The sequence below is a fragment of the Homo sapiens genome, chromosome 13 (genome assembly GCF_000001405.40).
Source record: "Homo sapiens chromosome 13, GRCh38.p14 Primary Assembly".
NCBI classification, from domain to species: Eukaryota; Metazoa; Chordata; class Mammalia; order Primates; family Hominidae; genus Homo; species Homo sapiens.
The window spans coordinates 20135584-20163457 of NC_000013.11; the positions used below are offsets into that span (position 1 = coordinate 20135584).

Below are 27874 nucleotides of genomic sequence, written 5' to 3' on the forward strand. Positions count from 1 at the left end.
GCTGGAGTGCAGTGGCACAATCACAGCTCACTACAGCCTTGAATTCCTGGGCTCAAGCAGTGCTCCTGCCTCAGCTTTCCGAGCAGCTGGGACCACATGTGAGTGCCACTATGCCCAACTAATTTTTATTTATTTATTTATTTTTAAATTTTTTATTTTTTTGAGACAGAGTTTCGTTCTTGTTGCCCAGGCTGGAGTGCAGTGGCACGATCTTGGCTCACTGCAACCTCTGCCTCCTTGGTTCAAGCAATTCTCCTGCTTCAGTCTCTCAAGTAGCTGGGATTACAGGCACCCACCACCACGTCCGGCTAATTTTTTGTATTTTTAATAGAGACGGGATTTCATCATGTTGGTCAGGCTGGTCTGGAACTCTTGACCTCAGGTGATCCACCCACCTCGGCCTCCCAAAGTGCCGGGATTACAGGCATGAGCCACTGCGCCCGGCCCTTACTTATTTTTTTTGAGACAGAGTTTCGCTCTTGTCACCCAGGCTGGGTGCAGTGGTGCGATCTTGGCTCACTGCAACCTCTGCCTCCCGGGTTCAAGCAATTCTCCTGCCTCAGCCTCCAGAGTAGCTGGGATTACAGGCGCCTGCCACCACGCCCGGCTAACTTTTGTATTTTTAATAGAAACGGGGTTTCACCATGTTGGCCAGGCTGGTCTTGAACTCTTGACTTCAGGTGACCCACCTGCCTCGGCATCCCAAAGTGCTGGGATTACAGGCGTGAGCCACTGCGCCTGGCCTGCCGGGCTAATTTTAATTTAATTTAATTATTATTATTATTATTATTTGTAGAGAGGGGTGTCTGTGTTGTCCAGACTGGTCTCAAACGCCAGGCCTCAAGCAACACTCCTTCCTCAGCCTCCCAAAGTGTTGAGATTATGGGCGTGAGCCAATTGGCCTAAAACTGTTTTGTTTTGAAATAAAGGTAAACCATAAAAATGGGTAGGCAGATGAAAATTTTGGTCAGCCCGCGGATTATTTTTATTTACCCTGAGGCTTGCGTTTATTAAGCATCACTATGGGTTAAGGACTAGGCAAAGCATTTTAAGTTCATTCTTATTTACTCCTTGCAACTTTACTTCAATTTTTCAGACAAGAAAACTCATCATCTATAAAGTCAAAGGCGTTAGATAACTTTCCCAAAGTCATGCTGTGGGAGAAGAGAGGTGCAGGATTCAGCCACTTGTCCATGACCACAACGGCTCACCTGGACTCGGGCGTGGAACTGTCCACCGTACAGGATCGTTACGGGTTCCTGGTGAGGAGACTCCCTTCTAATGGATAGGACCGTGCAGACGATAAAGCCCACAGAAAGCGTCTCTTTCTACGCTCGGCCAGCCTGGGTTTTGTGGCGCCAGCAGCAGGCGCTGTGGTTCCCCGGCGTCCCTCCGGGGCCTCCCGCCGCGATTTGCGGAGCGCACTTGTTCCCAGGTGTGCCAGCGCCCTGCGCAGCGGCCCAGCCAACCCAGGCTCAGACTCAGGTCTGCGCCGTTTCCTCGCCACGCTCCCCCGAGGGAAACGGTCCTGATGCGTGTGTCCAGGCTTTTTTTTTTTTTTTTTAAGACTTTAAACGGTCCTGATCCGTGTGTCCACGCTTTTTTTTTTTTTAAGACCCTGGACGACAGGGTCTTGCTCTGTCGTCCAGGCTGGAGTGCAGTGGCGCCATCATGGCTCACTGCAGCCTGGAACTCCCAGGCTCAAGCGACCCTCCCACTCAGCCTCCCAAGTAGCTGGGATTGCAGGCGAGGGCCACCGTGCCCGGCCTATTTTTTTTTTTTTTTTTTTTTTTTTTTTGAAGAGAGGAGATCTCCTTGTGTTGCCCAGGCTGCACTCGTGCCTTCTTACCACGGCCCGTCTCGTCTCGTCAGTGCCACCCGCGCACTGTCCCCAGGGTCCGGGCCGCCCTGGCCCGCAGTGAGCAAGGGACCCATAGGCTGCGGCCCGGGACTGTTTAACATTTCCCTCCACAGGCCGCGACTGTCTTCCCCAAACTGTCCATCAGGACAGGTGTTTGCACTTGTCGGCAATATGGGAAACTCCCACCAATTTGTGTTTGGAAGAGCTGAGTTTTGAGTTTTGGGTGTGGAGCTTTGAGAGCTTTCCAAGGCCCCAGGCCGGCTGCTTTGTGTTATACTGTGTCCCTGGAAATCATCTCACACCTGGGTTCATAAAGCAGGAACGCTGCAGGTGGGAAATGCGTTCCTTATCAAGCGCTGAAAATCAGAGGCATTCCAGTGTTGCCAACAGTGTCACAGAGGTAGATACATCGGGCCCCTTACGTAGAATTCCATGCGGGACAGCTTCCCAAGAACCACAGACTCCAACCTCCTAAAGCAAAGATCTCTCTCTCTTCTGAAGCCCCATGAAGCTTAAGAGAACGCTGCTCAAGGGGGGACTTAATGAGACAGGAAGAAGGTGAACTTTTATATTATTTCTTCAGAAGAACTCACTGCAGGCATCAGCAATGCTTGAACCCTGGGAGAATGTGTGTTTTTGCTCTGGGGAAAGCCTGTGAGAGAGGGGACAGCCCCTGCAGTGACTTCTCAAATTGCTTCTGTTAGGAAAAAAGGTCTTCCTCCTTATGATATCTAAGACAACAAAAAGTGTGATTTTGAATACCTGCTTAGGGAGTCTGCCAATGAAAATAACCAACTGCAGAACTAGTGGTTTAAACTTAAGGGCACTTTTATTATTTTAGAAAATGCTTACTTCCAGTTACAATGTAATCCAGGAAAGACACTGTTATGGCACAAAAATTAAGTTTTAGTAAGAGTTTTGTAAATACATGAGCTAAATGAACATTTACACACCAAACAGCTTCAAATATGGTACTTTCTGGAAACAGTTTGTTGCTTTGAGTGTTATTCAAATCCCTAACTTGTTTGCCTTATTATAATGTTCTGTAACGTAAAGGGGAAAAAATATTTTGGGCAGTCAGAAACCTTAAAGTGAGTCAACCCAAGATTTGCACTGTAATATAAAATTAGGAAGAAAAGTGCCTTCCCTGACCTTAAATGTACAATGTCCATATGCTATATTAAAGGTTATTTAGGATATCCTCAATTTGTAGGGGTGGCGGGTGGTGATGGTGGCAGGACTCTATTCATCTTTGGAAAACACATTTACTCTCTTAAATCATGCAATACTCTCTATAAGTATTTATTTTGGTGGAGATTCATGAATTAGTGTTACAAATATCAGAAGTTCAAAAAATTCAGAAAAAAGGAGTTTATTCAGTAATACAAAATAAAGAAAGTGTTAATAATACTTTTTAAAAAGCCTAACGTGAAAGGAGACCTAAACCCTATTGGATTAATTTTTTGTAAAGTGATGTTTAAATTATATTCATAGTTATTAGTCCAGGTATTCTTGTGTAGGAATTCTATGACCTATCCACTTACTTGTCCAGAGCCGAAGAAATCCAGGATAAATGAGAAAGATGCTGGCTTGCTATTTTTCTTTTGTAAATTTAAGGATTTATTCGTGTCAATTTTATTAAAAAATACAAGAATAACCATTAAAAGTTTAAAAAGGAGAAAGTGAGTGATAATATAAGTAATAGTTTTAGAATTTAAAAAATGATTTTTGGTACTGTAACTATAGTGATGTTTAACATTTTATAAAAACAGGGATATAAGAAGTAATTGTATACAGCAGCTTAAAAACCATGTATGTAAATATAATACTCAAATGCTATAGGTATAGCATTTGAGTTTTAAAATAGGCTTAGAGATTTTTTAAAACTTTCTAATGAATCAAGAACAAAATAGTTTCAGTGAAATTTCCAGGCTAGAAAAAAATAGGTCTGGAATCTTGCCCACAGAGAGAGGCAATTTCTATTTTTATTGCATGTTTCAATGTCTTAAAGGACTAGTTGAGTAGAGAACAATTCCACACTGCCTGAGAGAGAAGGACCCAGCCTTTAGAATCATGGATACCTCAAAGAGCAAAAGGATGTGAAACATGCGTTCATTTCTTACATGAACTGAAATCAGTATGCTAACCTGAAAAAACACCACAGGCACTGTTCTATTGCAAAACCTCACTTCTTTATAGATTAGTGATTTTCAAGTAGGTGAATCTAATTCTACACTCCTATCCACTCTAAATGGACCCACTAGACTATGGTCAATGGTACAATACTGGCATTTCCATAAACATATTGTGACTAAATTCAATTTTAAAATGTAAAAACTAGATACAATTTGAGTTCTCATGCTCATCTCCAACCCCACTCAAAATCAAATTGTGGGTAAATAAGAAGCTTGTTACTGTTATGAACATTTATTATGGTAGAACTTAAAGAACCAAGTATTGACATCCACTTGTACTTGAGCTGTACTTGTGCTCTTGGATGATTGCTATTGCATTTTCTAAAATGGCCAAAGCTTTTTATCGGAATGCTTCTCACACTAGGATCTTCTAGCAGCCCTTATCACTCACAAGAACTAAGTCCTGCTGCCCTAGGCCTATGGCATACACTGCATGTAATGAGTGAACTTCGGAGAGAAGTTATGCATCTAGAATGGCTGTAGTTATGCACCAGCCTGGAGAGGAGTGAGAAAGTCACTCACAGTTTTCCAAAGGGCTAATTTCTCTCTTGTCAATCTGGTTGAGAAAGTCTCTGAGGAGACGTATGGAAAAGTTAGCATTTTTCAAGCCTAGGAGCCTGTCCAGTGCATCCTACAGCAAGCAGAATGTACTAACAAATTCTTTGTGTTTGACTGACATGAAAAACTAGTTGCATGCAAGAATCTGAGACTTGGAAATTGCATTCCTTTCATCAGATTGTTAGTGGAGCACCCTTTATGATAGAAAACAGAAAGTATGTTTGGAGTGTGGTCCCAAATGCATCATCGAGAAGTTAATTTATAAAAAGAAATGTATTACATTGGTCTCGCTGAACAAGGGCTAATGATACTCAGTAGAAGTTGGAGGTGAAAAGTGTGAGTAGAAACAGGCTCAACATGACCATCGTTCATTTTATAAACAAATGGTGACCAAGATACTACAGCTGTGTGTGCAGGACAGAAAATTCTGCCGTCTTCCAGCCATGCCCACACACATAAATAGCCTTCCCTGTCAGGACAGCTCTGGTGTGGAGGCAGAATGGGGCATACAGCCTGCATGAGCACGCGCCCTCCCCCAGGCAGGGATCCCCAGACACTTATATTATTTACACTGGAGAAAGCAAACAGGCTGCCCACAAAGAATGATTAGGAAGCTTGAAGTGTTTTATTCTGTACTTTTTAAAAGTGTAGATTGTCATAGATTCATCTGTATAAATAATTTTCCTGGCAACAGTAGTTCACTTTTCACTTCCCATTCAAAATCTTCAGAACTTCTATTTGAATGCACTTAAAACTTTCCCCTGCTTTTGTTTTATATAATACATTCTCATTATAATTAGGTGACTCATGAAATTAAAGAATTTCTTTTACAAGAAAGTTCAAAATCTTTAGTAAAGATGCTAGTAGCATGCATTAGGGCAAATTAGCACTGTCTTGGTCAGCAATCATTCTAACAGTATTTAAAGAAAGAAAAACACTATTTTTCTTTCATTTTTCCTGAAAGAAAGTGGGAGAAAATAGGCATAGCTGCACCATTCAAAGCACAAAATAATCATTTAGAAAATAAATACCTACGGCATACCCGACACACTTTTATGTCAATTTCCTCAACTGTTTAAAAATGGCCTCAGGCGTGGCTGCGTTTCCACCTGCCTTCTGCCAGCAACCTCTGGGGCCCTTGCCCACTGAGCCTGCCTCTGGAGGGCAACTGCTCTTTGTCACTTGTCATGAGGCCTGAAGCTTGATATCCTGGGCTTCACATGCAATTTCGGAAACTCAAATGACACTACATAGACTTGCTGTAAATCTTTTTTTAGTGCAGTTTGGCAAATATCCCAAATGAAATTCAACTCTAAGTTAAAAGTATCAAAGAGATAGAGCTAAGTGCTCTGGCCCAGAGCTAAGACCCTCTGGGCCGCCCAGAGGCTCTGGAGAGCTTAGGAATAGCAAACCCAATTGCCCAGGAGCTAAAGGGACTGCAGGATACCTGTTGCTTTACCACTACAGAACAGTTACCCCCAGAGACAGCCCTCAGCGACCAGATTTCTGGGCTGCTGTGAAGATCTTAAAGGCCCACAACCCTTGTCCCCGCCACCCCCAAACTCAGAAAGTGGGAGTTATCCCCACTGTAACTCACAGTGCTAAGAACAGCAAGCATTGAACACGGAAACCTGATCTCTCCTCCATCGTCCACCTCCTGGGACTCCAGTCGCTCCCACCTCCTGGGACTTTCAGGTTCTATCTGCTGGTGGGAAGTGCACTTTGGTTTTGGTTTCTAAGAAAAAGATCACTACACAGCTGTCTGGAGGCAGGCACCCGGGCACTAGATGGCCAAGTCCTCCGGTCTGGCCCGCCCGCTGCTGGCCCTGCTGGCCTTGCTGGCCCGACCTGGGTCTCCGAGGGGCAAGGGCGGCTGGTGCATCTGGGCCGCGGTGGTCACGGCCTGCTCCTCCTCCTCGGGGGTCCCTGCCAGGGCGCTCCCCTCCAGACTGCTGCCGCTCCCATCCAGCAGCAGGGGCGCCGCGCCCGCCTCAGCCTCGTGCGCGAGTGGCGGGGAGCTGCTGCCGACGGGGCTGGGGGCTGCAGGCGTGGACGCTGCCGGGTAAGCCTTGAGCGCCGGGGGCTGCCGCTCGGCCGCCTGGTTGGCCCAGTTCTGCTCAGTCATCAGCAGGTGGTGGTGGCCGTTGTAGAGCTTGGCGGACTGGCCCTTTCCGCGCGCCTCGGTCAGGGCTAGCAGTTTGAAGTCCGCGGCTGGTGGCGGGGCCCCGGGGTAGCCCACGGCGCGGGCCTGTCCCAGGGGCGCAGCGGTGTGCGCATAGTAGGGTGGGAACCCGATGGCAACGGCGGGCGGCCGGGAGCTGGGGGGCAGGGGCGGGGGATCGGCTGTCCCCAGCGGGGCCTCGGAGGCGTCCGGGCCGAGGCGGCTGGTCACGCCCTGCTTGAGCTTCTTCCAGCCCAGGTGGTAGATCTCCAGCATGTTGAGCAGCAGGGACGCGCAGGCCACCGCCAGCATGAAGATGATGAAGATGGTCTTCTCCGTGGGCCTGGAGATGAAGCAGTCCACCGTGTTGGGGCAGGGCCAGCGGTCGCAGCGGTAGAGCGGCTTCAGCTCGAAGCCGTACAGAAAGTACTGGCCGGCGATGAAGCCCACCTCGAACAGCGTCTTGAAGATGATGTTGAAGACGTAGGTCCGCAGCAGCGCCCCGGCCATGCGCACCCTGCCGCGGTCGTCCCGCGACGAGGGATTGTCCTGCGGTGGCTCCTTGGGGCTGGGGCTCTCTCTCTTCAGCTGCTCCTCCTCCTCCCTCTCTTTCTTCTTCTCTTCCATGCGCACGATGTGCAGCACGTGGCCCAGGTAGATGAGGGTGGGCGTGGACACGAAGATGATCTGCAGCGCCCAGAAGCGGATGTGGGAGATGGGGAAGGCCCTGTCGTAGCAGACGTTCTCGCAGCCCGGCTGCTGGGTGTTGCAGGTGAAGTCTGACTGCTCATCGCCCCACACGTCCTCCGCCGCGGCCCCCAGCACCAAGATGCGGAAGATGAACAGCACGGTCAGCCAAACCTTGCCGATGACCGTGGAGTGCTCCTGTGCATTTTCTAAGAGTCTTCCCAGAAAGCTCCAGTCGCCCATTGCTTCAGATTCCTAACCTGTAAGAGGAAAATGCTCATGAACACCGGGCTGCAACGGCTGAGTGCCGGGTCCGCACCCATGGGCGGCGGCAGCGGCCTGGATGGTACTGGGATGGGGCTGATGGGCAGCTTCTCCACAGGACAGGCATCGCAGCTCCCCAGGACCTGGACGAGCAGGCACTACACAAGTGCAAGCGTCCATGAGGAACCACAGGTTAAACTCTTCATTTCAGAGAGGAGGAAGCCAGAGCCAGAAGAGAAAATGCCCTCCTCTGGCCTCCAGACTGCTCAAGCCCTCTCCCTGAGGCTGACCCTACAGGAGCTCTGGGGCTCTGCGGCCCCTTAGGCCACTTCTGAATCATGACCTTTCTGTTCAGGTGGGATTAGAGCAACCTCTTCCCAAATTGCTGCCATCCCCATGCCCATGCCACCTTCAGAACTTCTGCCATGTTAATCTGATACCTCTTCTACTATTTGCTTTTTCTGTCTTCACATCAACTCTTTATGCTTAAATTTATCTCAACTAGGAAAGTTTACATTACTACTGTCAATGGAAAATCGGCACTAATACCTTCAATGGATGGTAGCTTTAAGAGTAAATATATTCCAACTCAGCCAGCTTTATTTTGGAAGTAAGGAAATAAAGACTTACTCCCCTTTTTTAAAAAAGAATAAATTCCTTGATGACAATGAAGTTGATACAGTCTATGGGATATTGCTTGCCAAAAGCTCTGGATGTAAGCTCTCTTGTTACAAAGAGGAAGATGAGGAGTATTGGAGAGGTGTTAAACAAACTAGTATCAAACCAAGCCCCTCTCCAAGGCCACTATTAGGATAGAAACAGAATTGATAAAGGAATGATCTTCTCACACATGATTCAGCATCCACTGACGACCACCTGAAATCACCTCACCTGACCGAATGCCCACACTGGATTCTAGGCAGAGCTGAAGGGGTGCTGGATGGGGGCAGAGGAAGCACTTGGGGTGAACCGAGCTTGAGGATCCTGTGAGGACCAGGGGCCAGCTCAGCAGAGCCGGGCCTTCAGTGGCCGTCACTCAACAGCACTCGTGGGTACCCAGATGTCTGAGGGTAGAAACAGCACGCCCAGACTCAGTCAGGGTGCAAGTGAGTGGAGCCCAACCAGTGTGGGAGATAGCATGGATCCTCTGGGTCAGAGTGCCCATGGGTGTTGGGCAGGGCTCACCAGCCCTACCTGCCCCAGAAGTGTGACTCCGAAGAAGGCAGCCCAAGGAGGGGGTGGTACCAGCTGCAGGCCCACCCCCAGGCCCAATTCAGCAAGTGTTAGGTAAACATCCCCAGGCAGGCAGCTTCCTCTCTCAGCCTGTGTACAACAGGGACCACGGTCATACACAGGGATGGAGGGAGGTGAGACTGCCAGCCTGCTAAGAAAGCAGCAGTGCCCACAGACACGGGATGAAGATGAGATGGCATCCCGTGTCGCTGCTGCCCCAACAGGCTGGATGCTGGGAATGGGAACAGAAAAACAGCTCCATGCTTTGCAGTGAGGAAAGCAGTCTCAGCTGTGAGGACACAGTCTCCAGTGGAACCAAAGAAAACACTTGTCATTTTCAATTTTAAAATATTTCAGGCTGGGCGCGGTGGCTCACGCCTGTAATCCCAGCACTTTGGGAGGCTAAGGCGGAAGGATCACTTGAGGTCAGGAGTTCAAGAATAGCCTGGCCCACATGGTGAAACCTCATCTCTACTAATAATACATAAGTTAGCCAGGCATGGTGGAGGGTGCCTGTAGTCCCAGCTACTTGGGAGGCTGAGGGCAGGAGAATTGCTTGAACCTGGAAGGCAGAGGCTGCAGTGGGCTGAGATCATGCCACTGTACTCCAGCCTGGATGACAGAGCAACAGTCCATCTCAAAAAAATTTTTTTTTAAATATTAATTTTTATGAATTGGTTCAAAGGCAAATCAACAAAAGAAAACTCTACTCATTAACAATCTAAAGAAACAGACGAATGTTAACTCTCCCTTAGAACAAACTCCCAACATTCTGCTTGGACCCCTGGAGCTCTTAGAGAAAGCGGACTACTCACGCATCCTCCCAGCCTCTCATCTCCTATTGTGGCTGGCATCTTTTCTTGTGTTCTAAGGAGGTAGGATGTTTTACTTTAGAAACTTAATTACTGCACTTGAAACCACCCAGTCACCCCCAGGAGGGATGTCTGGGAACAATTTGGGGTCACTTCCTGCTTCTCCTCCAAGTGTCCCTCTGGGCTGGGACCAGGCCCCCAATGGCATCTATGCCCCTACCTGCCCAGGCGTCTGGGCAGACACTGCACAGGACAAAACCATGATAGCATGCAAGACCCATCAGCACCTGGGCCCAGCCACGCTGAAGCCTGAAACTCCACCTTTAGGCCTCTGTACATGCTGTTTCTCCAACCTAAAGCCCCGCTCCGTCCGGCCACTGCCTGCTGACCTGCCCCTTGCCTACACAGTCCCCTCAGGGGTGGCCATCTCAGGCCTACACCGGTGCCCTGGGTTCTCTCTCCCCCTTGCCATGCCCTGGTTTAATGGCTGTCACCTCTTCCCAACATCCCCCTCCCCATCCCGCTCCAGCAGGCTCCCTCCATCCTCCCACAGCCCCACCTGCCAAGCTTTCCCGGGCAAGAGCAGCCTCTGGGCTCTAGAGTACACCTGCTCCCTGTGCCTTTCCCCTAGGCCTGGCTCTGAGGACGGGGCAGGCATGGGCATCCTTTCCTGTTCCCTGTCTACCGGCAGAGTAGCTGGGTAATGTGCTTTCCAGAGGCTTCCGAGGAAAGGCCGCTGTGGGTAGTTCATACCCCTTCCAGCAGCCTCATACTTGCTCCAGCAGTTCTTGCTAAAAGGCAGTCTACACGAGGTGCTGGGACAGGGGCCTGGCTGGCTCCCCACACACGGCTGATGGCACAGAGCACCATGAGGGAGGGGTCTGCTGCCCGTCACAGACTGGACAATGCCACTGGCGTTTCCCTGTGGGGCCAGTGGAGGCAAAATGTTCTGCCGTGTTTGGGGTGACCTCATGGGAAAGAACTGTCCCACCCCAAATGCCTATCGTGCACCTGTTGAGAAACATGGGGCCAAATAACTACTTATTCAACTGGTAAACCAGATGATAGGATGGGGAAGCTGACCACAGCAGCTGAGCCTGCTCCAGATCCTTTAGGCCCAGGGGCTGCAAAACACTGGAATATATGCCCTTGGAAGAGCCTTGCGACCTCTGAGTGCAACCTACAAGAATGATGACCAGCCACCAGCCAGACCCTTGCTTGTGCCCCATCAGGGGCCAAGGCTGTGTCCCAGAGACAGGATGACACAGTGTTTCCTGAACAGGAGCATCCAGCATTCAGGCACTGTGTGTTGTAGCACACCAGGGATCTGTGTGGATCTTTCTGGAAAAGAATGAGAGACATGAATCCAACAATACCTTTGACCTCTAATTCTACTTCCAGGACATCCTACTAAGGAAATAATCAGAGACTTGGGTAAATGTGTGTGCATGGCATATTGTGATGTTACCCATAAGGAATGACTGGAAACAGAAATGTCTGGTAGAGGATGAACAGTTCCCTGAGCAGTGCTGGCTGGCCGTGGCTGACACCGTGCTCTGGCCAACCCAGCTCCTACTACCATCCTTCTCTCCCTTGCCTGACTCTAATGTGACTGGGAAGGGAAATGTTTGCTTCTTCATCCTCCCTTGTGGCTGGAGGTGAATAGAAAAGGCAGTTCTGTCCAGTGAGTTGTAAGATGTCTGCTGGGGAATGTCTGGGAAAGCTTTGGTTTTCTAAGAAAAGGGCAGGTGGTACTTGTGCTGTCCTTTCCCTTTCTTTTCCACGTACAGTACAGATGTGATGCTGGAGCTGGGCAGCCACCTGGCAAGCATGAATCAATAAGCACAGGGGATTGGTTAAGAGAGTCGTAGGTCACCTGCTGTGAACTGTGGAAATGCCGAATCAGCCCCATCAGCCACTTCCAGATTTCTTATGTGAGGGGAGAACCTTATTTGTTCAAATTAGGTTTCCTGTTGCTTGCAAGTGAAAAAGAATCCCTAACTGATACACTATCTTAAATGCCTTATGAAATAAAGTCTGGTAAAAATGAAAAGCTATGGTTCATTTATAACCACTAAAATATAAAGTAGCCATTAGATGTAATTTTTCAGAACATTAATGACGTGAAAAATTACTGATGCTATGATAAATGACAAGAACTTAGGACAACACAACAGTCTGATACCAGCTATTTTATACACTCTCTTACGTGGACACAGAAAAAGGAAGAATGATACTGAAATGTTAACAGTGGTGCTTCTGAGAATGGGGTGATTTTTCTTTTCACAGTTCTCTGCATTTTCTATGACAACATATCACACTGCTCATCATAAAAGATAGATGACCATAGCTTTCATTTTTCGCAGTTGTAGCTTTTGAAAAAATCAGCTGACTCCTTTTTCATTGTTCCTTCATTGTGGTTTCTACTCTGTTCATTGCTTTAATCATGTCTGTAGTAAGCACACAAACAGATACAATACACTTTGCACGCTTAGCCCAATGTCAGAGGATAATGACTGTGGGATCACCGAGAGTTTAGAGTGGATTCCATCTTCCTGCCTGGCAATCTCCCGTATCAGGCGCAGTGTTTGGAGAAAGCAGTTTCCCCAACAGACTCTAAGTGAGCAAGGGCAAGGGTGTCTGTGTCCCCATCACTCATCTGAGCCTCACGACTACACTTCACAGTTTGGGTTTTGTTTTGTAAAACACATGCATGAATAAATGAAAATTTAACCAGAACACAGACAATCTATCTGGGAGACTGACAACTGGATCCTGATCAGACCTGCGTGGAAGCCTCCCCAGCAGATGCGGTATCCACCTCCCTTCGCCGTCAGACTTTAGTTGGCTCTGGATGACATGCAGAGGCTCTGGGGGCATTTTACCAATACTATGGTTCTTTTTTTTTTTTTTTTTTTTTTGAGACAGAGTCTCATTCTGTCGCTCAGGCTAAGGTGCAGTGGCACGGATCATAGCTCACTGCAGCCTCAAATTCCCAGAGCTCCGGTGATTCTCCCACCTCAGCCTACCAAGTAGCTGGGACTACAGGTATGCACCATCATGCAGGGCTAATTTTCATGTTTTTGTAGAGACGAGGTCTTGTGATGTTGCCCAGGCTGGTCTGGAACTCCTGGCCTCAAGTGATCCACCTACCTTGGCCTCCTACAGTGCTGGGATTACAGGTGTGAGCCACCGCGCCCAGCCTGATATCACTTTGTAATCATATTCCTAATATCACTAGATAGTGAAATCAGCAGAGAGTTGCACATGTGTCGCAGAAAGACTCTTCTGTGCTAAGTACAGGCAGAGGATGAGAGAAGGTATGCCAGGACTGACAGAGGCTGAGGTCAGGCAAGGCGCTGCTGAACCATGTGTCCTGAGTACCGCTGGGCAGAGGAAAAGACGGGCTTTCGCTCATCACCCACGGGGAGGCCCCCGGTGTGATCGCTTAACCTTGCAAGGTGCACGCGACCTAATGACAGAATACCACAGCCCATGTTGTTGAAACCTTTTTAGAGAACTGACCTAAAAACTGTGGGGGTTACACAGCACTGTGTGGCAGGGTGTTTATGATCTCCCATGAGATGGCCCTTAATCTTTTTGGTTCTGCCTCAGTGAAAACCTTGATTCTTAGTCGTCTGAATAACAAACAGGTCTTATGTTTCAAAATTTATGACGCTGCTTTCATAGTCTTTGAAAAGTTACGTTTTCCTTTCAACGGTAAATTGTTTCCCCCTTGGCCTTCAAGATCCATTGCATTTTCCCTCAGACAAATCAATGGCTATTTCCTCAGTGACAGTCTTGCTCTCAATTCTGGGCCACAGGTTTTGATGGCCACACAAGAAGTTTAAGGAATGATCTCGGTGCAGTAGCTCACACCTGTAATCTCTGCACTTTGGGAGGCCAAGCAGGAGGATCTCTTGAGCCCAGGAGTTCAGGGGCAGCCTGGGCAACATAGCGAGACTTCCTCTGTACAAAAAATTAGCTAAGTGTGGTGGTGCATGCCTATAGTACCAGCTACGTGGGGGGCTGTGGTGGGAGGATCAATTGAGCCAGGGAAGTTGAGGCTGTAGTGAGCCATGATTGTGCCACTGCGTTCCAGTCTGGGTGACAGAGCAGGACCCTGTCTCTTAAAAAAAAGAGAAAGAAATAGTTTAAGGAATAGTCTCTATCTTAAAAATCTATTTGTGGAGGTGGAAAAATTCAGCAAATTAGGGAGCTACATAATATATACATGCAAGGGGATTTCAGAGAAAAGGGATATTCGTATCATACTAAAATGGGCAGTTGGGGAAAAGTGGGATTTCAGCTGGGATTAGGAGTTGCAGTTTTGGATAAGAGGTGGGAGAAGGGAATGCATTTCCAGAAGAGAGCAATGTTTCCATGAAGGTGGGAACAGGGGTTGTGGGTTGGAAGCAGTGATTTTAAAAGGTGGCTTCTGCACAGCAGAGCCAGGCTGTGGCCATACTCTGCACATAGCAGACGTTCAATAAACACTTGCAGGACAGATGAATGAAAGAGTGGGAGCCCCTCAACAATGCTGAGAGGGAGCAACAGGCTGGAAGTGCTCTTCACGAATGAGGCAGGGCCTCAGGAACAGCGTGGTAATCTCGGAGTGAGTGTCCAAGGCCTGGGCTGGGTGACAGGCAGACGAATGGAAAAAAGAAGGGACAGCAAGGAGACACATTCTGAAGACAAAAATAAAGCAGAACGCAGCGTCTGACTAGAGTCAGGGAATAAAAAAGCTATGAACCAGAGGCTAACCCTGGTGACCGGGAAAATGATGGCACCGTTTAAAGAGGAAGAAGTTGGGGCAAGTGCTGACCTGAGCTGGAAGAAAGGTGAGGGGGTGGCTGTGAAAGCAGTGGTGGAGACAGGAACGAAGACAATCAGGAGGCAGCTGGCGGCATGGGGCTGGAGGGGTCAGGAGGAGGGTCTGCACTGCAGCTTCCCCTTTCAGGCAGGACCACGGAGCAAAGAACAGAGATGAAGAGGGAGGCAGGAGACCACTGCTCCTGGTGTGTGTGTGTGTGTGTGTGTGTGTGTGAAGGTGGTCTGGCAGTGTGGGGACTAAGACTGGGCCGGGAGGACCGCGTCCTGCACAGCGTGGGGGAAGGCACCCTCGGTCTGTGCCTGACGAGCATCCCCAGAGAAGGCCACAGGCTTAGATTGTGTTAGGTTTTTGGAAGGTGTGCTTTGAAGTTGTTTTATCCTTTTAACTCTGTTCTGTTTTCCCTTAGTCTTCTGAGAAAGTTCATTTAGAAAATTCTGACCTCGGGAATACAGGCAGTGACCTCCCACCTCTCAAGACAATGTGGGACCCTCGATGCGATCCCAGGCGGGGCTGGAGGGCGAAGGCCCCCTGAGGCCCCGCAGAGCCTGGCACAGCTGTGACAGCCACTTGCCTCCGATGGGTGAGGCTGGAGAGCCAGGGCCCGTGGTGCTCAGCTGGGGCCTCTGAGGCAGGGGTGACTCTGCGTCAGTGCCCTTTAGAGGGCCCAAAGGATGGAGTAGGGAAAGGCCTGTCCACCTCACAGGAAGGCAGGAGACCACTGTGGTCCTCAAGTGTCCTGTCCTGGGGGAGGGGTCAATGCAGTGCAGATGGGTAGTGCCATCGGCTTCCATCTGTTCTCAGTACATCAAGAACGTCAGGAAAGGAGAGAGCATGGGCAAAAGTGGGGCCCGGGGCCCAGCAGAGGTACCCCAGATGGGGTGGTGTGGGTGGTGGACATCAGAGAGGAAGGAGGGTGTTGGAGGGAGGGTGGGGCGGGAGCAAGGTGGCTCCTTCCGGCCAGGAGGCAGTCAGTGAGGGCAGGCGTGGGCAGAAGGTCTCCAGAGTGCTGACAAGACTCTTGTCAGTGGGGTCAAAGAGGAGGTCACCTCCTCAGGCAAGAGCAGGACTCAGCCCTCCAGGAGATAAGGAAGCTTGATAGCAAGGACTGGAGAGGATGTGGAAGAGATCAGCTCCTGCCCCCCAACCCCACAACCCATTCCTCTGCACGTACAGGAGATGCAGGCAGTCAACAAGGGTTGCTGAGGCGTGCTCCCCAAAGGGGTGCCTCCAGCCCCAGGACGGCGTAGAACAAAACACAGGGTCTCCTGTCCCAGTGCAGCCCCCATGCTGGCGGGAAGTCACACAACACGAGAGAAGTTCCATGTGTCAGACTCCCGATACCCCGGAGAAGTGGAAAGCCGCGGAGGAGCATCAGTGGGGGTGCACAGGCCAGAGCAGACCGGGGCTCCAGGACATGGGAGCCTCAGGTATGAGGGCAGAGTGATCCAGGCCAGAAGGGGCTCTCAGTTAGGGGCATCCCTCGTGGGCTCAAGGGACGGCGAGGATGGATTACTTGAGCTCAGCAAGCTGAGGCGGGGGAGGCAGACAGGCCACAGCAGATGGGAAGAGAACCCGGGCTCTCACTTCAGTGTGCTGGGAAAGTACTGGAGGGATGGAACAGAAGAGTAGCCACGCTCACAGGGCCACCCTAGGACAGTCTATGGGGGCAGGGGCAAACGCACAGCCTCCAGGAAGGAGGCTGGACCACAATCCAGAGAAATGATGTGAGCAGTCGAGGTGTGAGAAAAGGCCCGGCATGCCCCTGGGCTGGTGTCGGGAGGGCACCAGCACTGGTGCTCAGAACGGGAGTAATGGAACTGCCTTTTACCAAGATGGGGAGACCAGAGGAGGTCCAGGTTTGGGGAAGAAAATGGCGATCATGAATTGTCTGGGACATGCTAAGTTTAAAATGCCTGAGACGTGTGAGTGTGGAAGCTGGAGGTGCACATCTGGGAGTTGTCACCAAGTGGCCCTGGATTTAGATCATTGAAGGGCAGGGGAGGAGGAAACGGGGGCGACAGTAAAGCCCAGGGGTCTAACAGCATCCAGAGGGTGAGCACAGATGGGCCGGGCACCTGCAGAGGAGCTGATCACCACCAAGTGCAAGTTTTAGTTAAGTCTCTGGAACGAGTCACAGCCAAAAGGTATAATTTGTACCACACTTGATTCCCTCTCATAATATCATATTGACAATTAAAAAGAAATTTTTTTTTTGAGACAGGGTCTCCCTCTGTTGCCCAGGCTGGAGTGCAGTGGTACAATCTCGGCTCACTGCAACCTCTGTCTTGTGGGTTCAGGCGATTCTTGTGCCTCAGCCTCATGAGTAGCTGGGATTACAGGCACCCACCACCACACCTGGCTAATTTTTGTATTTTTAGTAGAGACAGGGTTTTGGCTGTTGACCAGGCTGGTCTGGAACTCCTGACCTCAGGTGATTTGCCTGCCTTGGTCTCCCAAAGTGCTGTACAGATGAGAGCTACCACGCCTAGTCTATACTGACAATTTACAACACTGTTACTTGGTTTACAAATTAGAGGTAATATAATATGGAGTAAAGCTAGGTAAATTAATTTTGTATTAAGTGTTTGTGATTGCCTGGAACACTCATGAGTAGGATTTTGAGGGTCACAAGTAGGCTTACCCAGAAAGAGTTCTATGTTTAACTATTAATGTCTGTGAGGGTTTGGTACAGGGCAATGGTGGTTCAGATGCTCATTTTTGCATTCCTGGTTTAAGCACATTTCTACGAGGGCATGGTGAGCTGTCACAAATATTAAGTCACAAATATTATATGATGAAAATGGGCTTATCTAGTTAGTCATCTTTTCAGCCACCGGCAAGACTGTCTTCCATTAGCCTCTTTCATTCCTTGCCTATTTCAAGCTTTTGCACCTAAAGACTGTAATTTCCAGATACCACAAGACCTAGCCTATGGTGTTTGGTACATCGTCCCACCCTTTTCATAGTTCTCATCTGACTTTTTAAAAAATACAGAATTCAAAACAAACCTGTCAAAATAACAAAAGGAACAAAAGACCTTTTCTTGTACTCTATATGGCTGACTTCAACATTTAGCACTGTTCAAGCAAGAGGAAAAGCAGGTCTTTAGATTATAAATCATGCTGCCATAAAGACACAAGCACATGTATGTTTACTGCAGCACTATTCACAATAGCAAAGACTTGGAACCAACCCAAATGTCCATCAATGATAGACTGGATTAAGAAAATGTGGCACATATACACCATGGAATACTATGCAGCCATAAAAAAGGATGAGTTCATGTCCTTTGTAGGGACATGGATGAAGCTAGAAACCATCATTCTGAGCAAACCATCGCAAGGACAGAAAACCAAACACCACATGTTCTCACTCATAGGTGAGAAGTGAAAAATGAGAACACTTGGACACAGGGTGGGGAACATCACACACTGGGGCCTGTTGTGGGGTGCGGGGAGGGGGAAGGGATAGTATTAGGAGATATACCTAATGTAAATGACAAGTTAACAGGTGCAGCACACCAACGTGGCACATGTATACATATGTAACAAACCTGCACATTGTGCACATGTACCCTAGAACTTAAAGTATAATAATAATAAAAAATTAAATTAAAAAAAAAAAAGAAAAGCAGGCCTTTAAAAGCTGGTTTAGAGTCACTTATAATTTAGTGCCACAGTTCAATTACACAGACCAGCATGAAAGAGGAAAATCCTGAATCTCTGAAGTTTCACACTGACAGAACATATTAGTTTTCGTCTCCGGAAGAAAATGACAGAAGGCTACCCCTGTTACCCACACCAGCAGGACACCCAATGGCAACAGTTCTAGATATACAGCACTTGGTATCTGGTAGGACAAGTCCCCCAACCTTGTTCTCCAAATGTGTCTTTCGACAATTTTTGGCTTTTTACTTCTAACACAGGAAACTTAGGTATAGTTTTCCAAGACCCACAAAAATCCAAGATAGGGTTTGGATTGGAAATGCAGTAAGTTTAGAGATGAATCAGATTTACTTCTGTACACTCATTTCCCACTAGCAAGTGCAATGGCTTCACTGCTGCGACACTTCTTTAATGCCCTGAGCCTTAGGATGCTGTCCCTGAAGTTCTCACACATCTATTAGATTTATCCCTCCATACTTCTTTACAGTTGTTCTGAAGAGTTTTTAAAATTTTCTGCTTGATTGTTATTAGTACTTAGGAACATTCCTTTTGTATGTTGATATTGTATCCAGCAACCTGTTACAAAGGCTTTTCTAGTTCTAATAGATTCTTTTGGATTTTCTGTGTAGACATAGAAATAATCTACTCTTAAGGATAAATTTGTCTCTTCCTTTCCTAAGTCTAATACCTGTTATTTCTTTTTCTTGTTTTCCCTTTGCTGGCCAGGACTTCTAGCATAATACGGTGTGGTAACATATTTTCTTGTTTCTGACTTTAATATGAATGCTTTTAAAGTTTTATCATTGAGCACGATGTTTTAATTTTTATCAGACTAAAGACATTTCCTTCCAGTCTTTCTTTGCTAAAAAGTTTGTTCTGTTTTCAATTTTTTAAACTATGAATGACTACTGGTTTTAATGCAACACTTTTTTCCTCCATCTATTGTGATTTTTTAGATGTTAATCACTAAAGAGGGTAAGTCCTCTTTGTTATGATTTAATTACCTTATTTTTTTGAGACAAGGCCTTGCTCTGTCACTCAGGATGGAATACAGTGGCATGATTACAGCTCACTGTAACTTTGAACTACTGGGCTCAAGCAATCCTCCTGCCTCAGCTTCCCAACTAGCTGAGACTACAGGCACACACCACCACAGCCGATTAATTTTTATTTTCATTTTTATTTTGTGAAGATGGGGTCTCACTATATTGCCAGGGTTGGTCTCAAACTCCTGGCCTCAAGCCATCCTCCTGCCTCAGACTCCCAAAGTGCTGGGATTACAAGTGTGAGCCACCACGCCTATCAATGATTTTATTTTTAATATCCTAGCACATTCAATTTGCTACTACTTTATTTTCGATTCTTATATGTTCATATTTAAGACTGGTTTCAGCTTTTCTGTCCTATCATCAGATTTTGGTATGAAAGTTATTTTAACATGAAAATTTTAAAATTATCTGAATAAGCTCATATAAGAATCTCCTATAGAAGAGTTTGGGACTAATGTCTTTTTTTTTAGGGGGGTAGGAGGGAAGACTTAATTACAAATTTAATTTCATTAACTGTTACTAACATACGTAGGTTTACTGTTTACTAAGTCAAATTTGGTCACTTACATTTTTTAGAAAATTTTCCACTTTATGTTTCAAATTTGTTGGCATAAAATTATTCATGGCATTTTCTTATGATTTTGAAACGCTATGGTGTTTGTAGTCAAATTCCTTTGGTTCCAAATATTGTTTATTTGGGGATTTAAAATATTAGTCTTGCTAGTTTATCTTTTGTTAATGAACCAACTTTGACATGCTTTTAAAAATGACAGGTTATTTTATTTTCTCCCTTGTCCTATTTTGTATGCCATATTCATAATATATAGAATAAATCTATAGGAGTCCTATAGATCTTTTCAATAGATAATGAAGATTTTAGTATTTGTTGGCATTACTATAAAATACACATATACAGTTTAAGAGTATCCTTGATCTCAAAGTTATGTGGTTATTGTATAGTTCCAGGGGTTTCCATTTCTAATTTACATGCAGAGATATGTGGGTTCTATTCTTGATGTTTCAATAATCTAATGCTGTTGCAGGAAACATTACTCTCATCCAGAGCCAACTGATTTAGGAATATTATAAATTTAATTTTCAACTTCTTTAATAGTTCTAAGTCATTGCTAGGATTATACATTTTTATATTTTAAATGTACTTATGAAATAAGAATGTATGGAAAGCATGTACGACAGTGTCTGCCATCTATGTATTATTATTATTTCTTTTATTTTCTTTTTCATGTGGGGATTTCAATCTTTTATGCATACCTGAAAAGTCATATGCTCTTAAATCTTTATTTGGCTAAAGTAAATATGGTGAACAGTTTTCATCTCTAGTCAAAGGGAGGAACTAATCTTTTTTTACCTTTTATAACTTAAAATCTTAGTGAGGGCATTTTATTTTATTTTATTTTATTTTATGACAGAATCTCACTGCACTCCCAGGCTGGAGTGGAGTGGCATGATCTTGGCTCACTGCAACCTCTGCCTCCCAGGTTCAAGCAATTCTCGGGCCTCATCCTCCCAAGTAGCTGGGATTACAGGCGTGTGTCACCACACCTACCCAATTTTTGGTAGAAAATACAAAAATATTTCTGGTTTCACCATGTTGGCCAGGCTGGTCTTGAACTCCTGACCTCAGGTGATCTGTGCACCCTGGCCTCCCAAAGTGTTGGGATCATAGGCATGAGCCACCAAGCCTGGCCATAGTGAGAGCTAATTTTAAACTGGAAGTAATTAAAACAGCTGTGTTAATTTAAAAAATTGTCTTCAATATTTTATACTCGAGAATGGCAAAATTTAAAATATACTATTTATCTACAGTCTTTCTTCTTGAAATACTTGAATAAATATTCCCTCTAGAAATCAGCACTAAAGCACCATTTCCACAGGGAGTTCTAACATTAAGCTAGAAAATTAACAGCTGGTTTAGTTTCAATTCAATTGACAGGAAAATGTAAAGAGTTGCAGCGTAATTAGAAACAACTGCCTGCCAAGACGCCCCACTGGGGTTCCTTTCAACCCTCCAGAGACCTCCCAGCTCCATCTCCCAGTGGAGCCCTCTGGTTTCTTCTGCCAATTATTAAAGGGCATTGTAAGTTTTAATAACTTCTGTGAACCACTTAAGAATTCCACTGAAATTATTTACTTATCCAAACATTTATTCAGACATTTTAGTGATGTGTTAATGTATTTCCTTCAATGTTTTAGTCCTCAAAGTTTTAAAAATTGAATAATGAAAAAAAGTGACTTCCTTAAGGTAAAATTGAACTTAGCAGTACCCCACTTTCTGAGGGGTGGCTTGGGGCAAGGGTAAGTAATAGAGAAAATTACAGGGGTGCTTCAGCATAGCAGCGATCAGAACAGGCTTTTGTCATGTCTAAAACACAAGTCATGATGTCTGAACAGATGACCAAACACTGACCTCATAAACACAGTGCAGTCAGTTAAAAGGCAATTTCCTCATATAAATCCAAATGACATCCTTCAGGAACCTTACTCATTATCGACAGAAGAAATATGGAATCTTAGCATTTTGGCAAGGGATGAACCTTAGAAGTGGTCTAGTTTATGCTCCTTATTTTACAAACTGGGAAATGGCAGCTCAGAGAGGGTCCTGAGACTTGCCTAAAGTTGCACAGCCCACAGTGCTGACACCAGCACAGAAGTGCCCAACCTCCAACTCCTGGCCCAACTTCCCTTCCCCTCCCACACCACTTCATGGGCGATGCAGCAGGCAGACTGTTCAGCTTATGACACTATGTATTACATGCCTTTTGCATTTTATTATATTCTAACATACTGGAATACATATGTTTAGAAATGTGGGCTGGAGTACATGTTAAGCTTTCACTTTTTTTTTCCAGTCCAGACTGTCTCAAGGGGGGTATTTTTATCTTTTATAAAAATGGTTAAATATTACTGATATGCTAAGGACAGCCCAATTACTTCATCACAAATTTGAATTATCTTTTTTTTTTTTTCTGTCACACTTATGGCTTACTGCAGCCTCAATCTCTTGGGCTCAAATGATCCTCCTGCCTCAGCCTCCTGAGTAGCTGGGACTATAGGTTTGTACCACCACACTGGGCTAATTTTATAAAAAATATTTTGAAGTGACTGTATCTCACTATATTGCCTGGGCTGGTCTCAAACTCCTGGGCTCAAGAGATCCTCCTGCCTCAGCCTCCCAAAAAGTGCTGGGATTACATGCATGAGCCACCACACCCAGTCAGAATTATCTTTTTAAAGTAAATTCAGATATTTTTACTCTTGCTTAGTGAACAAAATCCCACAACCTGATAATTATGGTATTTTATTATTCCACTGATATTACTGATAAAAATTACATCTGTCAAAATATTTTCTATTTTTTTGCAGAAATAATTTCTATAGTATTAGTATGATTTCACTTTTCTTACTCAAATCTACTTCTATTGCTGTGTAACCAGAAATTGCTTCTATGTTCTAGAATAAAAGATTTATTTTAAAATCAACAGGAAATGGAGTTTCAGGAATAAATAAGCAATAATCCATGGAGATAATCAGGAGGTCTAAATGTAAAAAGCTAATTAATTTTTATATCTAGTATCATTAGTTTGTTAACAGTAAATTTAAAGCAAACCAATTCTTCAAATTAAATAAGACACATAAGAGTGTGGAAACTATTCACATCAACCATTACTTTTGGAGATGTACAGGAGTTTTAAAAAAGCAAGCAGTAGGCTGGGCGCGGTGGCTCACGCCTGTAATTCCAGCACTTTGGGAGGCTGAGGTGGGTGGATCACCTGAGGTCAGGAGTTTGAGACCAGCCTGTCCAACATGGTGAAACTGTGTCTCTACTAAAAATACAAAAATTAGCCAGGCGTGGTGGCGCATGCCTGTAATCCCAGCTACAAGGGAGGCTGAGGCAGGAGAATCGCTTTAACTGGGAGGCAGAAGTCGCAATGAGCCAAGACTGTGCCACTGTGCCATTGCACTCCAGCCTGGACAAGAGCAAAACTCTCAAAAAAAAAAAAAAAAAAAAAAAAGAAAAAGAAAAAGAAAAAAAGCAAGCAGTAGAGTACTAACCTAGTTATCATGAGGAATTTTCCACCACTGTAGGAATGAAAATTAAGATGAAACTTTATTATTTTTATTGCCTTTAAGCATTATACAGAAATTGCAGAAACATACTGTTTTTTAGAGACATATATGCTGTTGTCACATATATTGGATTTTTTCCCTCCTCAATTCAGTAAACATTTATTATTATTATAAAACATTATTACCTATTGTGTGTGGCACTGTGCCACACACTGAGGACAGCAAAACAATTAAGATCCAGTCCTCACTCTCAGGAGATTCATTTGCAATCTATGAGAGAGGCAGAGTGGCAAAAAACAGATCAAAATGTAAGTACTACATAGTACTGGGAATAGCTACCATCCAGCGGAGGGAGGAAGAAGGCATGGTGGTAGACGCCTGTAGTCCCAGCTACTCGGGAGGTTGCAGTGAGCCGAGATCGCACCACTGCACTCCAGCCTGGGTGACAGAGCGAGACTCCATCTCAAAAAAAAAAAAAAAAAAAAAAAAAAAAAAGGCTGCGATAAACGTAATTTTTCGTTTCAAATGTAGTGTGTACACGTTATTTTAGCTAAGAGAAATGAATATAATAAGTTAAAATGTGAGTAACATTCAAGAAAACTGGGTCAAAAATATTTTCCTTATTGGCAAAAAATTTTGTTACCCGCCATTCTTTTAAGACAGCTTTCAGCCAGTTAACGGTTCCTGGTTAAGAAACAGTACTGTCTGATTTGTTAGAGTAGTACCGTTTCGTGAATTACTTTCCACTACAGCAACACATGCATTGCCCTTATGAGATGCTTATCTCGATATGAACCAAACTGCTGAGCAGGTGGAATCTGTGCCAAACTAGCTGATGTTTACTTTGAACACACTGATATTCGGAAAATAAATCCCTCTTTTTTCCTCTTTAATCTTTTAATGTTTGTCTTGCACATGGATGGACCGCCAGTGAAGTGATGCGCACATCATAAATCACCATGGTTTTTAATTCCTGGGTGATGAGACCCATAATTCGCTTGTCAGCTGTTTGTATAGAATCATTTTTAAATGGCATGTTTTGGAGACATCTTGATAAAATAAAAACTGGAGTTCTAAAGTTGCAGTCACATATTCACGAACCGAGAACTCTACATGGTAGGATGAATTTTGCTCACTAGTGTGGAGTCGGCAACAAAGCAAATGCAGCCGCGTCACTGCCGTTTGTTTTCTCAAGTCTCCTACGGGAAGGGGCTCGGACAGTGCTTTTCCACTCCTCTGCAAATTCCTTATAGTTGAACACATCATAACAAACATACAGGTCGAGAAATCTGGTCGTGGCATTAATAGCTACAGTGTTTCTTAAAAATAAAAAGTTTTAAAAAGTTTCTGAAAAAAATGTAGGCGAGCCAACCTTGTTTCTAAACAATCCCAACAGGACTTTTAGGAGCACGGCGATGCTGAATGCCCGTGGACGGCTGGGTGCGCGCCGTTAGCTGGCGCGGTGACATCTGCTTAGAGTTTTCAAGCATTTCAGCATCGCTAGGAGCCCTACAGCCTGACGGTCCGGGACAGCCCGGCTTCCTCCACCCGAGGGGGAAAACAACCCCAGGAAAACAACTTAAACTCGGCCTTGGACTGTCCATCAAGGGAAGCCAAACGAGGCGCTGCTCTCCAGACCTCCAGGAGCAAAGGAGGAAGATCAATTATTCCAAAAGTTTCTCACAAATTTCCCGAGCTCCCCACAACTTTTTGAAGAATCCTGAAAGAATCCTAGGGGGCTGGGAGCCGCACACGTGCCGGGGCTCGGCTTCCCAGCTCGGCAGTCTCAGCCCGCTGGGCTCGCCCGGCAGCTCCGCTGCGCCGCCGACCCGCCCGTCCCCGCCCCGCGCTGCCCTCGGCCCCTGTGCCTGGCCTCCGGGGCGCCCGGCCCGCCTTACCCCGCTCTGCCGCGGCGGCGACCCGGGTGCGTTCCTCCGGAGCAGGGCTCCCGGCCGCTCTGAAAAGAATTCCTTTCACACGTGCGGTGCTGCTTCACGCGTGCGCCCCGCGCCAGGGCCCGACCTCCCCGCCCTGATCGCCATCCCTGCAGCCCCAGTGTGCGCTGCGCCCGACGCCCCCAAGCTGCAGCTCAGGACGCCGCGCCACGCCCCCGCCGCCTCCGAACAGCCCCGCCCCGCGCGCTTCCCAGCACGCACACCTACCGCCCCCGCATCCCTACCCTGTACGCGCAGCCACAGCACTCGCCCGCGTCCGCATTCCACACCCTACCCCGCGCGCACGTCCATGCCTAGCGCCTGCATCCCCATCCCGCACCTGCGCGGGCCCTGGGGATGTGGACGCGGGGGCTCTTCCCTGCCGCCTACGCACTCCGGGGCATGCCCGCGCGGGACGTGAGAGGAGAGCCGAGGGCTGTTGGGGCGGGCCCGACCCGCTTGCGGGGCGCCCACCGCACGCAGATGCGCCAGCCCGCGCCCCGCTCGCGCCTGTCCTGGGCTTCGCAGGCCCGGCGAGGTAGCTGCTCTCCGGGCGCTCCCACGGTCGGAGGCGCGTGGGCGTCGGGCACCTAGGTCTCGCCCGCCTGCAGCCGCCTGGGGACGCGGGTTCCGGACGGCTGGCGCGGGGCGGGGCGGGGACCACCGAGCAGGAAGTCCCCGCGGAAGCGCCGCCGGGCACAGCGTGGGTGCTGTCGAGGAGTGGCGCCCGGGCGGGGCGGGAGGTTATAAATAGCGGCCGCCATCCTGCTTCTCTTCAGACACACTTAATTTAGCCGGCAGGCACACGGATGCTTATTTTTAAAAAAAGAACTTGTTTTATTGCGCTCGAGGTGACCGGGAAGGTGTCCCCGCGGGTCACTCGCTCCATCTGGTCCTGGAGACGAGATGCCAGGGCGAGGCCTAACCTGCCTGCTGGCGCCCAACGAAGATTTTAACGTTTTCTGTTCCCTTCGGGGTGGTTTTACCACGCTTGAGAGGGACGCCTACCGCGGAAGGCCGCGGACCGAGGGCGGCATCGCGTCCTTGTCTGCTGTCTGGGCACAGCCTAGAGAGGCCGCGGGTCCCCTCCCCGTCCCCCAAGGTCTGGAGTGGGGTTTGACCAGCCTGGGATATTAACAAATATCGGTGGACTGCATTTCGGTGATCATTCCACAAGCTGAAATGGCTTCAAAATCACCTTTATGAGTAATAAGTTTATTCCAGGAATGTGGCAAAATGCAAGTCTGATAGTTTTCGTGTCTTCATGGAGCAGCTTCCGTCGGCTGCCTTCGTTAGCGTTTAGATCTACTCGGATTAGCAGTTGGCTTGCCCTGAAAAATGCGTTTGTTCTGCTGAGATCTGAATTTAAAGTTATCCCAAGGAGGAAAAACTAAGCTCCTAAAGGCGCATCTAAAATATCTTCTCCCTTTGGGAACTTTGCGGTGTATGTATGGAGTAGGTAGTAGTTACGGAGACTTAGTTTTTAATTTTTAATTGAAAAATGCTACCTTTGAAGGTCTTAAAATACTTGAATATTTTTCTCATTTAAAACATTTTCTCTGAGAAGCACAGGAATAGTTTTTTTTTTTTTGTTGATCACAAAAGCACTAGGAATTGTTAATATTTGTAGTCTGTTTGCCAAATGCTATTATTGGTATTCTGAGGATAAAAATGGAAATATAATATTGTAATAATTTTAAAATTTTTATTAAAATATAGATTTTAAATTATATTATGTAATTCGAACAAATATTTTACATATATGTTCATACAAGCATTATTTACTATAGCCAAAAGGTGTCCATCAATGGATGAATGGATAAACAAAATGTATTGCATACCTACAGTGGAATATTATTCAGCCTTAAAAAGGGAGAGCCCCATCACATGCTACAACGTGGACGAACCTTGAGTACATTATGCTAAATGAAATAAGCCAGTCACAAAAGTCACAAATACTGTATGATTCCATTTACATGAGGTACCTACAGCAGTCAAAATCATAGAGACGGAAAGTAGAAGTGTGGTTACCAGCAGCTGGGGCAGTGGGAAACGGGAAGATAGAGTTTCATAGGTACGGAGTTTTAGTTTGGGAAGATAGAAATAGTTTTGGAAGCAGATGATGGTAATGGTTGCATAACAATGTGAATGTACTTAATGCCACAGAACTGTACACATTAAGAAAGGTTAAATGGTAAATTAAAGGTTATGTATATTTTACTACCATAAAACAATTTTTAAAGTGGTATTGTGTAAAGACCAGCACAACTAAGAAGCTAGCAGTTTCTTTACACTTGTCATACTGTACAATTTCTAGGTAGACAACTAAGATGTTCATCTTATGGTTTAATGTTTAGTTGTAAAGGTTGTTTGCTTCTCATTTGGTTCCAAGAAAGAGTATTTAGGCCAATTTCAGGGAGAAATATGTGTATAGATATATTCATATGTCAAACTGATTAGTGCTGAATGTCACATTTCCATATTCTAATAACATTTCTAGCAAAGAAGAGGACACAGTGAAGAGAGAATTGC

The 27874-nt window shown here is 46.4% G+C and overlaps 1 protein-coding gene and 1 long non-coding RNA gene across 3 annotated transcripts, besides 6 other annotated features; one reads left to right on the forward strand and one right to left on the reverse strand.

Moving 5' to 3' along the window:
- LOC124903128 (uncharacterized) lies at positions 1–2809 on the forward strand. The gene is made up of 2 exons (XR_007063710.1): positions 1–98; positions 1097–2809. It is a non-coding gene; the product is annotated as an uncharacterized LOC124903128 (long non-coding RNA).
- Positions 996–1496: an enhancer, noted in NCBI's record as "H3K4me1 hESC enhancer chr13:20710718-20711218 (GRCh37/hg19 assembly coordinates)". NCBI's record gives its function as "activates a minimal SCP1, AML or CMV promoter by ChIP-STARR-seq in naive H9 embryonic stem cells {active_cell/tissue: H9 hESC(naive)}" and the evidence as "EXISTENCE:reporter gene assay evidence [ECO:0000049][PMID:30033119]".
- Positions 2672–25982, reverse strand: GJA3 (gap junction protein alpha 3). 2 transcript variants are annotated; one of them, XM_011535048.3, is made up of 2 exons: positions 25683–25982; positions 2672–7722 (listed from the first exon to the last, which is right to left on the reverse strand). In XM_011535048.3, the coding sequence occupies exon 2, from the start codon at positions 7703–7705 to the stop codon at positions 6398–6400; it is 1308 nt and encodes a 435-aa protein (XP_011533350.1). In that variant the 5' UTR covers positions 7706–7722; positions 25683–25982; the 3' UTR covers positions 2672–6397. The 2 variants fall into 2 exon arrangements, with proteins under 2 accessions (XP_011533350.1, NP_068773.2); NM_021954.4 differs by lacking the exon at positions 25683–25982 and adding an exon at positions 25307–25469.
- Positions 5977–6478: an enhancer, noted in NCBI's record as "H3K4me1 hESC enhancer chr13:20715699-20716200 (GRCh37/hg19 assembly coordinates)". NCBI's record gives its function as "activates a minimal SCP1, AML or CMV promoter by ChIP-STARR-seq in naive H9 embryonic stem cells {active_cell/tissue: H9 hESC(naive)}" and the evidence as "EXISTENCE:reporter gene assay evidence [ECO:0000049][PMID:30033119]".
- Positions 15995–16494: an enhancer, noted in NCBI's record as "H3K4me1 hESC enhancer chr13:20725717-20726216 (GRCh37/hg19 assembly coordinates)". NCBI's record gives its function as "activates a minimal SCP1, AML or CMV promoter by ChIP-STARR-seq in naive H9 embryonic stem cells {active_cell/tissue: H9 hESC(naive)}" and the evidence as "EXISTENCE:reporter gene assay evidence [ECO:0000049][PMID:30033119]".
- Positions 25200–25289: a silencer, noted in NCBI's record as "silent region_5150". NCBI's record gives its function as "represses an Ori minimal core promoter by ATAC-STARR-seq in GM12878 lymphoblastoid cells {active_cell/tissue: GM12878}" and the evidence as "EXISTENCE:reporter gene assay evidence [ECO:0000049][PMID:35858748]".
- Positions 25450–25529: a silencer, noted in NCBI's record as "silent region_5151". NCBI's record gives its function as "represses an Ori minimal core promoter by ATAC-STARR-seq in GM12878 lymphoblastoid cells {active_cell/tissue: GM12878}" and the evidence as "EXISTENCE:reporter gene assay evidence [ECO:0000049][PMID:35858748]".
- Positions 25760–26119: a silencer, noted in NCBI's record as "silent region_5152". NCBI's record gives its function as "represses an Ori minimal core promoter by ATAC-STARR-seq in GM12878 lymphoblastoid cells {active_cell/tissue: GM12878}" and the evidence as "EXISTENCE:reporter gene assay evidence [ECO:0000049][PMID:35858748]".

Bases quoted from the DNA above. Each gene is read 5' to 3' on its own strand.
- GJA3 (XM_011535048.3), bottom strand. From the start codon at position 7,705: ATGGGCGACTGGAGCTTTCTGGGAAGACTCTTAGAAAATGCACAGGAG.